Source organism: Homo sapiens, chromosome 12 (assembly GCF_000001405.40).
Source record: "Homo sapiens chromosome 12, GRCh38.p14 Primary Assembly".
NCBI lineage: Eukaryota > Metazoa > Chordata > Mammalia > Primates > Hominidae > Homo > Homo sapiens.
This window is the reverse complement of record NC_000012.12, coordinates 79,230,997-79,243,765: the sequence shown is the minus strand read 5'-3', so window position 1 is coordinate 79,243,765 and position 12,769 is coordinate 79,230,997. Positions and strand designations below refer to the sequence as shown.

Below are 12,769 nucleotides of genomic sequence, written 5' to 3'. Positions count from 1 at the left end.
TTTTTTTCCTGCTTGGAAGGCCCTGTGAACTTTGTTTTCCATTTCTGAGATAAAGATACTTAGTACATTTAAGGAGTAGAGGTTTGAAATTAACATTACATTAAGGCCTATCTTTAAAGTGACAACTCTGCCACTCTGGAGTGACTTTAGTTTTAGAGACCTCCTGCTTGCCGGTAAGAATGCTTTACGATGCTTGAATTTCGAAGCAGGGAAAAGGGATTCGATTTCGATTGCTTTAGCAATTCTTGCTCCCAGGGAAGGTCCTCAAATTTATTCTCACTGTGCTGAGTTTATTTTAGAATTTATTTTAATACATAAACACAAAAGAGACCTAATAAATATTCTTATCTTAATTTACCAGCAAAGTTGCATCAGTGTGAAAAATATGCCCTGTACTTGATGTTTTGCTTGACACTGAAATGTGAGAAAGCATGTGGCTGTGCTAGGGCAATTTAAGAAATTCTATTTAACAAGTCATAAAGAAAACAAACATGAAAAAACGATAAAATGGGAACATTTTGGAGACTATTTGATATGGTTCGACTGTGTCCCCACTCAAATCTCATCTTGAATTGTAGCTCCCATAATCCCCACATGTTGTGGGAGGGACCCGATGGGAGGTAATTGAATCATGGGGGCTGGTTTTTCCCCTGCTGTTCTCATGATAGTGTATAAGTCTCACAAGATCTGATGGTTTTATAAAGGGCAGTTCCCCTGCACATGCTCTCTTGCCTGCTGCCATGTAAGATGTGCCTCTTCTCCTCCTTCATCTTCTGCCATGATTGTGAGGCTTCTCCAGCCATATGGTACTGTGAGTCCATTAAATCTCCTTTTCTTTATAAATTACCCAGTCTTGGGTATTTCTTCATAGCAGTATAAAAATGACTAATACACCATTTTAGGAAAAAAGCAGCAAGGTACAATTTTCAATGTAAAGTTACATAGAAGTTATATACACGTGCAATACAAGTTACATATTAAATATAACACACAGTCTTCCACTGGCATTTTGGGAGGAGGAGGCAGTATGTAGTAGCAGACAACCTGGTTGGTTCAAGAACTTAGTTTTGGCTAAGTTTTGAATCCTGCCCTGCTACTTGGCAGTTGAATAATCTTGGTTAATAAATCTCTCTATCTTCAATTTCTGATCTTCAATTTCTGAAATTGTTTTACCTCTGTGTAGAAGCCATGATTTAAAAAAATATCACTTTGCTTGTTGCTTGAAAACTTAATTTCTTTCTGTATATTACTAGGTGCATACTCAGCCAATGGTGGCTATTAGGACAATCAAGCCCCAGTGCATAAATCAGCATTTCAAGCCCACAGGGGAGGGGCCTCTCACTGCAAAAGGTCCTCAGGCCAGAGTTTTCCTTGTCCTCACACAATCCAAAGTAGACATAACTAGCCCAAGAGAAGATGATAAGTAGATGAAGTCTAGCTTCCCAAGCCGCTCTATAACCCTCTTCTTGTTAAGGGACATTCTCTCCTTCAGGAGCGGTGGGTGACAATGATCCTGGGCAGAGATGGTAAAGTCATTGCAGCATTCGTTCACAAGGACCCAGGTGATCCACATGCAGCTCGTCCATTATATTTGTTTCCTATGACTGCTGTAACAAATGACCACAAACTGGGTGACTGAAAACAACAGAAATTTATTCTCTCACAGTTTTAGGGGCTTCAAGTCTGAAATCAAAGTATTGGAAGGCCATACTGTTTCTGAATGCTCTGAGAGAGACTCTGTTCCATGCCTTTCTCTCAGTTTCTGGTGTTGCCAGTAATCCTTGGTGTTCCTAGGCTTATAGATGTATCACTCTAATCTCTGCCTCCATTGCCACATGGCGTTCTCCCTGTGTATCTCTCTTCTCTTCTAAGGACGCTGGTCTCTTCTCTTCTAAGGCATTACTTCGGTATGACCTCACCTTAACTTGATTCGATCTTCAAAAAAAAAGTGATCTATTTCTAAAGAAGTCACATTTGCAGATAGGTACCAAGGGTTAGGACTTGAACATACAGTATGGGGCACATGATTCGACCCACAGCACACATTATCTACTTTTGAGTTTAAAAAATACATTTCTAATTTCTTAATGCAGATACATTTTTTTTCTGTTTTCACCAACACCAATTATTTTGTACTTAGTCATTTTCCTATGCTTTATAAAAACATGAATTTTTATGTTTTGGGAAACACATTCAAAGTCAGTGTAGGCTGGACATGGTGGCTCATGCCTGTAATCCCAGCACTTTGGGAGGATCACCTGAGGCCAGGAGTTCGAGACCAGCCTGGCCAACATGGCGAAACCCCATCTGTACTAAAAATACAAAAAATTAGCCGGGCATGGTGGCGCCCACCTGTAGTCCCAATTACTCAGGAGGCTGAGGCAGGAGAATCACGTGAATCCGGAAGGTGGAGGTTGCAGTGAGCCGAGATCGTGCCACTGCACTCCAGCCTGGGTGACAGAGTGAGACTTCATCTCCAAAAATAAAATTAAAAAAAAAAAAAGTTGCCAGTGCAAATCATTCCTCAGTAAACGAATCGCTTTTTTCTAGAATCTCAGAATTTTACTTACCATTTGTTTTTGTTTTTGTTTTGAGACAGGGTTTCACTCTGTTGTTCAGGCTGAAGTGCAGTGGCACTATCACAGTTCACTTGTAGCCTTGACTTTCTGGGCTCAAGCAATCCTCCTACCTCAGTCTCCTAAGTAGCTGGGACTAAAGGCATGTGCCACCATGACAGGCTGGTTTTAAAATTTTTTATAGAGATGGGATCTTGCTATGTTGCCCAGACTGGTCTCCAACTCTTGGGCTCAAGCTATCCTCCTGCTGTGGCCTCCTAAAGTGTTGGGATTACACGTGTGAGCCATTGTGCCCAGCCCTTTCTTTTTTAAATAAAATATTCTCCTCTACATTTTTTAGATGCATATTTCTTATAAAAGACAATATCAACACCTTGCAATATATAATTACTTTTTAAAAAATGAATGTGTCAAGCTAGCAATTTCTAATAACCAATCCCATGTATACTAGCTCATAATTTCAAGTTGTACAACTGAGATCAAATTAAGCACAGAAACTCTACTTCTTCCTAATCATTTTTTTATTTTAAGCAAAAGTTTAGAATTGGAACCGTGTCTCCAACCTGGAATCTATGTTGTTTTCATAGATTGGAAATAGACATTCCTGAACCTGTTGATATGAACTGATCACCATCACCAAAATATAACCTTTGAAGGATTCACTAGACTGAGAATAATTAATAGTGAACTGATATAGCTTTCATTTTCTTTTTAAACAATGCTCAGACTCTAAAGAATCTGCACTGGAAGATATCACCACTATAATAACCATGCTGCTGCTAACCCTGCAAAAATACACTATTTTAGTGGCTATAATGGAATGACACCAAAAAGAAGGAGAGAAGAAAATGAGAATAAGAAGGATGCTTTTCAGTTCAAATCCTTTAAATTTTGTAAAAAATAGAGTAGTGCCAATTGACACTATTTAGATAAAAGGTAATCTATTGCCTTTTCATAAAGTAACAATTCTTTTGTTCTCTGTCATACATTCATTCTCTTTCCAAATCTTTGGTAAGCAGAATTCTATTAATAAGATGGTTTTCAAGACTCTACCCTCTCCTGCATACATGCCCTATGTAAGCCTTCTCTTTGAGTATGGGAAAGATCCGTGACTGTAATGGATTGTGCTATGTGGCAAAGGTGAAAGGATTTTGCAGATGTAATTAAATTCCCAAATAGGTTGTATTTCAATTCATCAAAAGGGAGACTGTCCTGGGTGAGCCCAGTTGCAAGCCCTTAAAGCATGACTAGGCCCTTCCTGAGGTGAGAGAGATGTTCCACTGGCCTTGAAGAAGCAGTCATGTTGTAAACTGCATATGGCAGAGTCATCTTTAGGAACTGAGGGTCTCAGTCCTGTAATTTCAAGGAACAGAATTTCTGCCAAAAAGTCTGAAAGAGCTTGGAAAAAAGCCTGGACTCCCTCTTCTGTGGTCTAGTTGACATTTTGATGGCAGCCTTGCGAGACACCGAGCAGAGGACCCTGTTAGGCTGGGCTTGGATTTCTAATTCATGTAAACTGTGAGATAATAAACGTTGTGTTGTTTTAAGCCACTAATATTGTAGCAAATGTTTTTAACAAACTTTTTTTAGAATAGGTTTAGATTTACAGAAACGTTAAGACTGTACAGAGATTTCTCATATACCTCATACCTAGTTTCCCCTATTATTAACCTCTACATTAATATGGCACATTTATTAGAATGAATGGACCAATGTAAATGCATTATTGTTAACTAAAGTCCATACTTTATTCAGATTTTCTGAGTTTTTCTGTTCCAGGACACCACATTACATTTAGTTGTCATGTGTCCGTTGGCTTCTCTTGGTTGTGACAGTTTCTCAGACTTTCTTTATTCTTGATGACCTTGACAGTTTTGAGAAGTACTGGTCAAGTATTTTCAAAATGTCTCTAAATTGGGATTTGTCTGATATTTTTCTCATGGTTATACTAGGGCTATTAGTTCTGCAGAGGAATAGCTTGTGGTAAACTTTTATGCAGCAATAGAAAACTAAGATATCTCTACAAGTCAATTTTTTACACATATTTATAATAGGGAAACATAGTATCTAAAATTATTTCAAACCAAAAGTAATTATTTAGTGCCTGCTGTATAGGAGCAGTACATACAAAATATCAATTTCTGCCACCACAGAATATAGGATAATTTGGAAGAATAAGGCAAATAACTAGAACATACAAATAAAATTGGCAAGTGCTATATGCATGAGGCTTATGGAGAATTCCAAGGACAGGGAGACTCTGATCAAAGAAGCAGGGGAAATATCGCAAATTTGTTAATGAGGTCTCAGCAACACTTTATAGTCAAAGCAAATTAGCCATATGAATATATCCAAAAGGATTTCTCACATTCAAGATTATCAGTTGGATTGCCATCAACATTTCTGTCCCAGGTTCACAAGCAACTTCTGCTGCAAATATATGAGGGATTAGTAATGACATCAAGGGTGTGGATATGTGGTAGCATTTGGAAGTAGGCAGGAGAGTTAGCTCTGCCTTTGGTAATGAAAACCTATTTATTTTCATCTCCTTCTTTTCACTACCGCAGCACATACCCAATTGCCCTGCATCTTGTTAAGTGCATGAGCTGTAATTCTACTTGTCCTCTTATGGAAGAGAACAGTTCACGCTCACCGCTTTCACATTCTCACTCTGTTTCCTCACTTCTTAACTTCTCATCCTGCACCCTGCAACTTGGCTTCTGATTCCAGCTCTCTAATGAAACAAGGCTTTCCAAGGTCAACAAAGAGCTCTAAATCCACTGGCCCTCTTTTCAGGCATAATCTTCTGTGATATATCTGAAGCATTTGCCATGCCTGGATGCTTATATGTCTAGCTATTTCTTTAATGGTCCAAAAAGAAAAAAAAGTTGGGTCATACTTTGTTCCTTAAAGCCCACAAAGGATTAGAGTTTGCAGCATAAAACCTGCTTAGGATGGCATTAAAAGTTCTTAGAAAACGGGGTCACATGCTTTCTCTTCCAGCCATACCACTAAATGTATCCTACAGTAAGTTGTAGTATATACAATATATTGTACACCAAGCAATCACACCAACCTCACTGTTAACCACAAAACTCTGATGATACCTCATTCAGTGTGGAATGACTTTTTACCAACTCTCTGGTTATGCAAATCCTTCTTTGGTTCAAGGCACAGTCTAGAGGTTATCTCTTTCTTAACTCCTTTTCTGTCATTCCCATACAAGTTGTATTTCCTTTGATCTTAGCTCACTTGTATCTCACTTTAATATGTACTTTATTAAACCCTGTACTAAAATGTATTCTGCATAACATCTTTGAGACTTTCTACTCCTCTATAAAATTGGGATCATAAGTGTATAGGGTTAGCAAAATTATAATTCAATATACAGATGATGGCCTGTACTAAGCACTCGGAAAATGATGGGAATGGTGATGATGAGGATGAAGTCTGCTACTTCTGCCCCATTAGACTGAAAACACTATAAGGGTAGATTGCCTGCTTTAATCATTTTTATTTCTTTTTTTTAACTTAAAATTTTCAACGGGCAGCTTCTGGAGCTGGAGTAGGCTCAGAGCCTCCCTATTGTTTGTTTCTTCCAAACTTTAAGCAGTACTTTAAAAAACATTCTTTCACATGGAAATGACTATTGTTTCTCTGAAACTCTCTCTTAATTTAGCTTCCATGACACACTGCTGTTCTACTTTACCCAATAGTCTTTGACAGCTCATTTATCTCTTCATCAACTTCTTTACTCTTCCATGAGTTTTGTATTTTAGGAATTTATCACTGGATTTCTGTCTTTTTTCCCCCTCTGTGTAGTCTTACTAATAACATATATCCACTTTATTTAATGCAACCTAAACTTGTATGTGGTCAAAGAAATCTCAATTTCTAATGCCCAACTCTTTCTCGTATTGTCCAATCCCTACAGGGCATAACCCTGGAATGGTTACCCAGCTTCTCTGAAATTATATTTCATTTTCTCTTTTCTACACACCTTCAGACCCAGACACAGCACCTGTCAACAGCATGTTCACAGAGTCTGTCACATCTGCGCTTTTGCTAGCAATTTAGTCTTTCATTATCTCACGCTAGTGTTCCTTCAGTTCTCTCTGTCCTGCCTTTCTCTCCTTCCAGGTTCCCCCGTCACAATCCATTCTACCCACACACTGCTGCCAGATTGATACAAAACTGTAATTATGTTACTTCTGTGTTTGAATATCTTGAATGGTTCCTGGCTCATCTTTAACTATTAAATAAAGTCTAACCTCAGCCTGATATTGATGGACCTCTCTAACCTAATTCCAAATTACCCTATGATGACTCCTCTACACGTCTCTCACAAGTTTTATTATGCATCACATGCTACGTTGTTATTGTTTCCATGCATATTCTATTTCTCTTATCAGATTGTAAGAATGATGGCTTATTCTATTTTATATCCCATCATCAAGCTGTTTATCCATGACACAAACATTTGTTGACTGTTTTCTCCTTGTAGGGCATATAACATGTAGTTGGCACTATGTAGGAATGGGTCAACCTCTACAGTTTTCTTAAAAATCTAGTAAGGAAGATATGAGCTTATAGTAATACCACTTGGTGGAAGATGAAAAGTATATTAAATGAGTAATACTGGTATTCAGCAGGAGCTTTATAGAAGAGCTAGCATTTGAATTGAGTCTTAGTCTTTTAGGATAGGGAGGTTTGACTATACAGAGATGGGGGTAATGTCATTTCAGATGGGAGAACACCACAGACTAAGGTAAAACAACAGGAAATGGAAGCACGTATCTGTAGAACAGTAATTAGTTCAGTTCACAAAGTACTGAGTACTTAAAAGAGAGGCTGGAAAGAGGCTGGAAAGGTAGGTTGGGGTTAAACTATAGAGAGGTTTGAATGCCAAATAAAGAACTTGAAAAGCCAGCTAAGGGGGAAGTACTAAAGGTTTCTGAACAAGGGACTTGCATGTTCAGAGCTCAGATCTAAGAAAAATCATCTGAAAGATTTATGTACAATGGGCTGGCCATAAATGGAAAATCGTTGTGGGAACACCTCCTAAGAGACTCTTACAATATAGATGAGGGCTCAAACCAGAATAATGACAGTGGAAGTTGAGAGTAGAGAGAGGACAGAAAATTAGGAAATATGACTTGCTAACTAGTTGGACAATGGGGGTCCAAAAGTGGGTAGAATTAAATATAAGCTCTGGTATTGAGCTTCAGAGTCAAGAAACATGCATGTGTTTGTTTTGTTGGGGGAAAAAGAAAAGAAAGTGAATTTAGTTTTGGATATGGTGAATTTCAGTTGCTAATGGGTATATAGTTGAACAAATCTAGAAGAGAGCTTTAAAAATCCATTTCATTGTTATTTTATATTTTCTTACTAAGAATGCTGAACATGTTTACATGAACTTAGCCATTCATATCTTCTTTGATTTAGTGTCTATTAAAAATATTTTGCTCATATTTGTATTGAATTGTAAGAAGTTTTAAAATATATATATTATGGAAATGACTTCTATGTCATTATATATAATCATTATATATATTTATATATTAATTACATATATATTTATATCTATATATGAAATGAATATTCTCTCCCATTCTGTGACTAGCCGTTTTTGGTATTTTCTTAATGGTATATTTACAAAGCAGAAGGCTTGACTCCTTGAAAAATCCTAACTTATCAAGTTTTTCTTTTATACTTAATGATTCTGGTGACCTGTTAAGAAAATCTTTGTCTATATCAAGGTCATGAAATTATTGTCTATATTTTCTTCTAGAAGTTTTACAGTTTTAACTTTTACATTTAGGTCTACAATCCATTGTGAGTTACCAGGGAATTGCACATTAAAACCACAATGATATATTCTATACACATACTAGAGTAACTAAAATGAAAAAGACTAGACAATTCCAAGTGTTAGCAAGGATGTAGAGCAACTAGAACTCTCATATATCACCTGTGGAGATATAAATAATAAAACCACTTTAGAAAACAGATTGGCAGTTCTTTTTTATAAAGTAAGACAAATATACTTCTGTACTACCAGACATAGTAATTCTATACTTAGGCACTTCCTAAGAGAAACGAAAACATAATAAATATATGTCCTCTTAAAGAGTTGCCCAAAAATATTTACTGCAACTTTATTCTTAAGAGCCCCAAACTAGGCTGGGCGCAGTGGCTCACGCCTGTAATCCCAGCATTTTGGGAGGCCAAGGTGGGTGGATCACGAAGCCAAGAGAAAGAGACCATCCTAGCCAACATGGTGAAACCCCATCTCTACTAAAAATACAAAAATTAGCTGGGCATGGTGGCATGTGCCTGTAGTCCCAGCTACTCAGGAGGCTGAGACAGGAGAATTGCTTGAACCCAGAAGGCGGAGGTTGCAGTGAGCCAAGATTGCGCCACTGCACTCCAGCCTGGTGACACAGCAAGACTTCATCTCAAAAAAAAAAAAAAAAAGAAAGAAAGAAAGAAAGAAAGAAAAAGCCCCAAACTAGAAATAACCTAAATGTCTATCAAGAAATACATGGATAAGCAACTCATGGATATCCATTCAATGAAATGCTACTCAGCAATAAAAAGAAATGGACTACTGAAACATGCAAGATGAATTGCAAAAACATTGTGCTAAGTGAAAGAAATCAGACACAGAATACGTGCATGGTTCCATTTTAGTGAAATGCTGGAACAGTTATAACTAATTTGTAATAACAGAAAAGCAGATTAATAACTGCCCATAACTAGAGGTAGCAGGGCAGCGATTGCTAGAAAGGAACTAGAAGCAATTTTTGGGGGTGGTGATTACATTGCTTGTATATGACTAAAAGCATAGAACTATACATTTTCAATGGGTGCATCTTATTGTATGTAAACCATTCTTCAATAAAGTTAATTTAACAAAAGAGGAGAGTTCAACAGAGATATCAAGTTTGAGGACTGAGTTTTGAGTGTGATTTACATATAGTATTGGAAATCCTGAAATTATAAATAAATCATAGAGGTAGAAAAATGCCAGAGGCAGAGGCTTGGAGAGTACCCACCTGTAGGCAATTGGAGGAGACAGAGAGAGAGAAAGAATGTTAGAAGGAAAGAAAGAGAATTAGAGAATTGAGTATCAGAAGCCAAGGGAGACGAGATTTTCAATAAACAGTAAGATACATTGTGTGGGGTGCCTTGTACATACGGATCCAACTATCCCTGCCTAAGGGAATGGCCAAATCAAGTAATCCAGAGTAGAGGCAAGGCGGCATCAATCTCCAATGGAAGATAACAGCAGCACAACTGACTTTGGGAAACTGCCTATATGTTTTCCTGTAATTGCAGCACTGGTAAAATTATGCAGGGCTCAACTGTTAGATTATTACATTCAAGCTTTTATGGAAGTACCTTGCCTTTCACGTCAGTAGCACTGGTGCTTAAGACTACTTAATGCAAAATAGCAAAACAGATTCACTACTGATGAGGGCCTGGAAAGCAGCCAGGTAAATCGCATTAGAGCCACATTAGCAGATCCGGAAAAGAAAGGTGGATGAATGACAGCAGCTGTAGAAAGGTGAGATGACAGAACAGTTCCAATCACTGTGGGCAGAAGATGGCTGTCCAGGCCACGTGGAAGCACCACTTCAAATGATATCCACGGTTGTGGTGATATCGACAATGTAGCTGAAAAGAGGAACTGCTGTGCTTTGTGTGCCTGATAGGGTGAAACACAGAAACCTACACAAGTTTCGTATAAACAGCTACTCAGCAAAGCAAACCTCACACAAGTACCCACTGGAGGAAAAGCCACTGTAACAGTGTATCCAGGTTTCTTTTGAACTGTCTCAGTGAAAACACAGGAAACTGGGCTATGTTAGATAACAATCATCATGTAAAATGAACTAATCTTATTTTCTGGACATTTCAATACAATTCGTTATTTTTAAAACAAAAAGATGAAGCTATCACCGAGTCCCTGATCTCCACTTGGAATAAACATGCTTGGGGGTGAGGACACTGTTTAGCTGGAGGACCAATTTGGTGGCTGCTTGCATCTTGACTCTGAATTAGATGGGGCTGCCACGAGACAGGTAGAGAAAAAAATAAACAATGAACATTTTAAATCAGCAGGGGCAAGGAGGAAAGAAAGGGAACAGAAGATGATAATGTTAAAGAAAGGTCGAGGAAAGGGAGAAAAGAAATAAAAGGAGAGAGAAAAAGCAAAGATGTATTGTAAAGTAGAGTGGGGTAGAGGGCATGGCAGAATGGTTCTGGAAGGTCGCCTACCTTCGGTTCAGCTTCACAGTGAATGTCGCCTTTGATTATTATGTCCTCTCACCCTTTTCCCGTAAGAGCTCTTTGGAAGTCTTTCTTGATAACTTGATATGAGGGCCTTTGAGCTAAAGGAGAATAATAATTCTGCCTACCTATGAGCCAGATTTTGTGCTGGAACTGGAGACACAAAGATGAAAAGACAGTGTGTCCTTGGCCTCAAGTAAATACAAAATAATAAAAGTAAAATTTATAAACATATGCAAAGTATAAACTTGTTATGGAGGGAGAATTGCTGAGGAATAGTGGGTTAGGAAGTTGGTACCAGAAAAAAGGAAAAGCTTTAAAGAAAAATAGAGTTCTGAAGGCTAACTAGAAGGAGTCTAGGTAGACAAGCTATGGCAAGTAAGGAATTTCAGGCAGAGGAGACAATTTGTATAAAGACCTGGAAGAAAGAAAAACTATGGATAATACATTTAGTAACTGTCGTGCTGGAGCAAACTGTGTGAGGGCGAACAGTTGAAGAGGAGGCTAGAGCATATGCAAGAGCCATATCATAAAGAGCCATCGCTGTCCTGCTAAGACATTTTAATTTAGAAGTCCTTCTCGCAGAAAAGTTCTGAGTTGTAATGCTGTTGAGGTCCAGAAAAATTATGTGCTTTGATTTAACTCCTTCCTATGGCATATACAGTCTTGCACATAGTAGGTGCTCTATACATATGCAGTGGAAGCTTATGGAATTTGAATGTGACCATTATATTCCAGACATTGTTTTAAGCACTTTATATACACGAATACTTTACTGCTCACACCTTCCCAGAGGTAAAGTACTATTATTGTCTTTATTTTACAGAGAAATTATATCATTTGCCCAAGGTCACACACTAGTAATGGTAGAGTCAGAATTTTGAACTTGGGAAGACCAACTTTGCAGCTCATACTACAAATGACCTCATTTCATAGATGCTCACCATAGCAAACAATGTTCTCCTGAACCTCGGTTAGTTGCTAATATTGGCTAAGAATCTGTGAGTGATTAAGACAGCATTATGGATAAATTGCTACCACTTTTGGGCTACTGAAGTATAACAAATAATTTAGGTAGTAATATTTGCGTGATTATAACAGCAGTGTTTTAAATCCACTGCAATAGTTAACTGATTTAAAATAATCTGATCCAAATCCTTACAAAAATAAATTTTTTACATTTTACATTAAATAATTAATTTTTTATATTTTTACATTAAAATAACATTTTACCTTCAAGGCATTGAACAATATGACTAAATCAATTATAGTTTATTGTCCCAAGATCCTGGCTCTTTTCTGAGTTTTTATGGACAGATATAAACTACTTTCAGAAAATGGCATATTTATCAGTTCAAATATATTTCTATTATTCGTTGTCTACTATTATCTTTTTTTTTTAAGAAAAACTTGTATGTGTGAAAACAGCTTGAAAGAGAAGAGAAAAAAGGAGAGGGTTCAAGTGGTTTTGAAATTTCTCCAGGGTAGCAGTGTCAATGAAAGTGTTGCTTAGTGAGGAAATCTTTCAATGGGCCAATATTTTCTTAATCTTTATTTCAAAGTTACCTAGGTTCACTCAAAAGACAGGCTGGGGAGACACGTGGACTCAGAAGATATCAAGTACAAATCCCTTTATTACAGTATTCTTATAAAGGAAAATCAAAACAAACAAAAATAAAGCCAAGCACTAAAAATATAATGGTATATCTCATACATTCCCTCTGGTTTCTGCTTCTAAATTCTTTACTCAATTTAATAGAAACTAGCACAAACCTGACAGATCAGCAATGCAATAAGAGATCTACATAGTCATGAGTGAGGAGAAACAGCAGTCTCCCAGCTTCTCTTATTCTGTCATCTTTGTAGATTTGTTTTTGTAGTCAGGCTTTGCTTAGTGA

The 12,769-nt window shown here is 37.4% G+C and overlaps 1 protein-coding gene across 16 annotated transcripts in view, besides 1 other annotated feature; it reads right to left on the bottom strand.

Moving 5' to 3' along the window:
- Window positions 1–12,769, bottom strand: part of SYT1 (synaptotagmin 1) — a 588,027-nt gene that overhangs the window by 208,243 nt on the left and 367,015 nt on the right. The gene's annotated exons all lie outside the window — the stretch shown is intronic.
- Window positions 10,132–10,211: an enhancer, noted in NCBI's record as "active region_6685". NCBI's record gives its function as "activates an Ori minimal core promoter by ATAC-STARR-seq in GM12878 lymphoblastoid cells {active_cell/tissue: GM12878}" and the evidence as "EXISTENCE:reporter gene assay evidence [ECO:0000049][PMID:35858748]".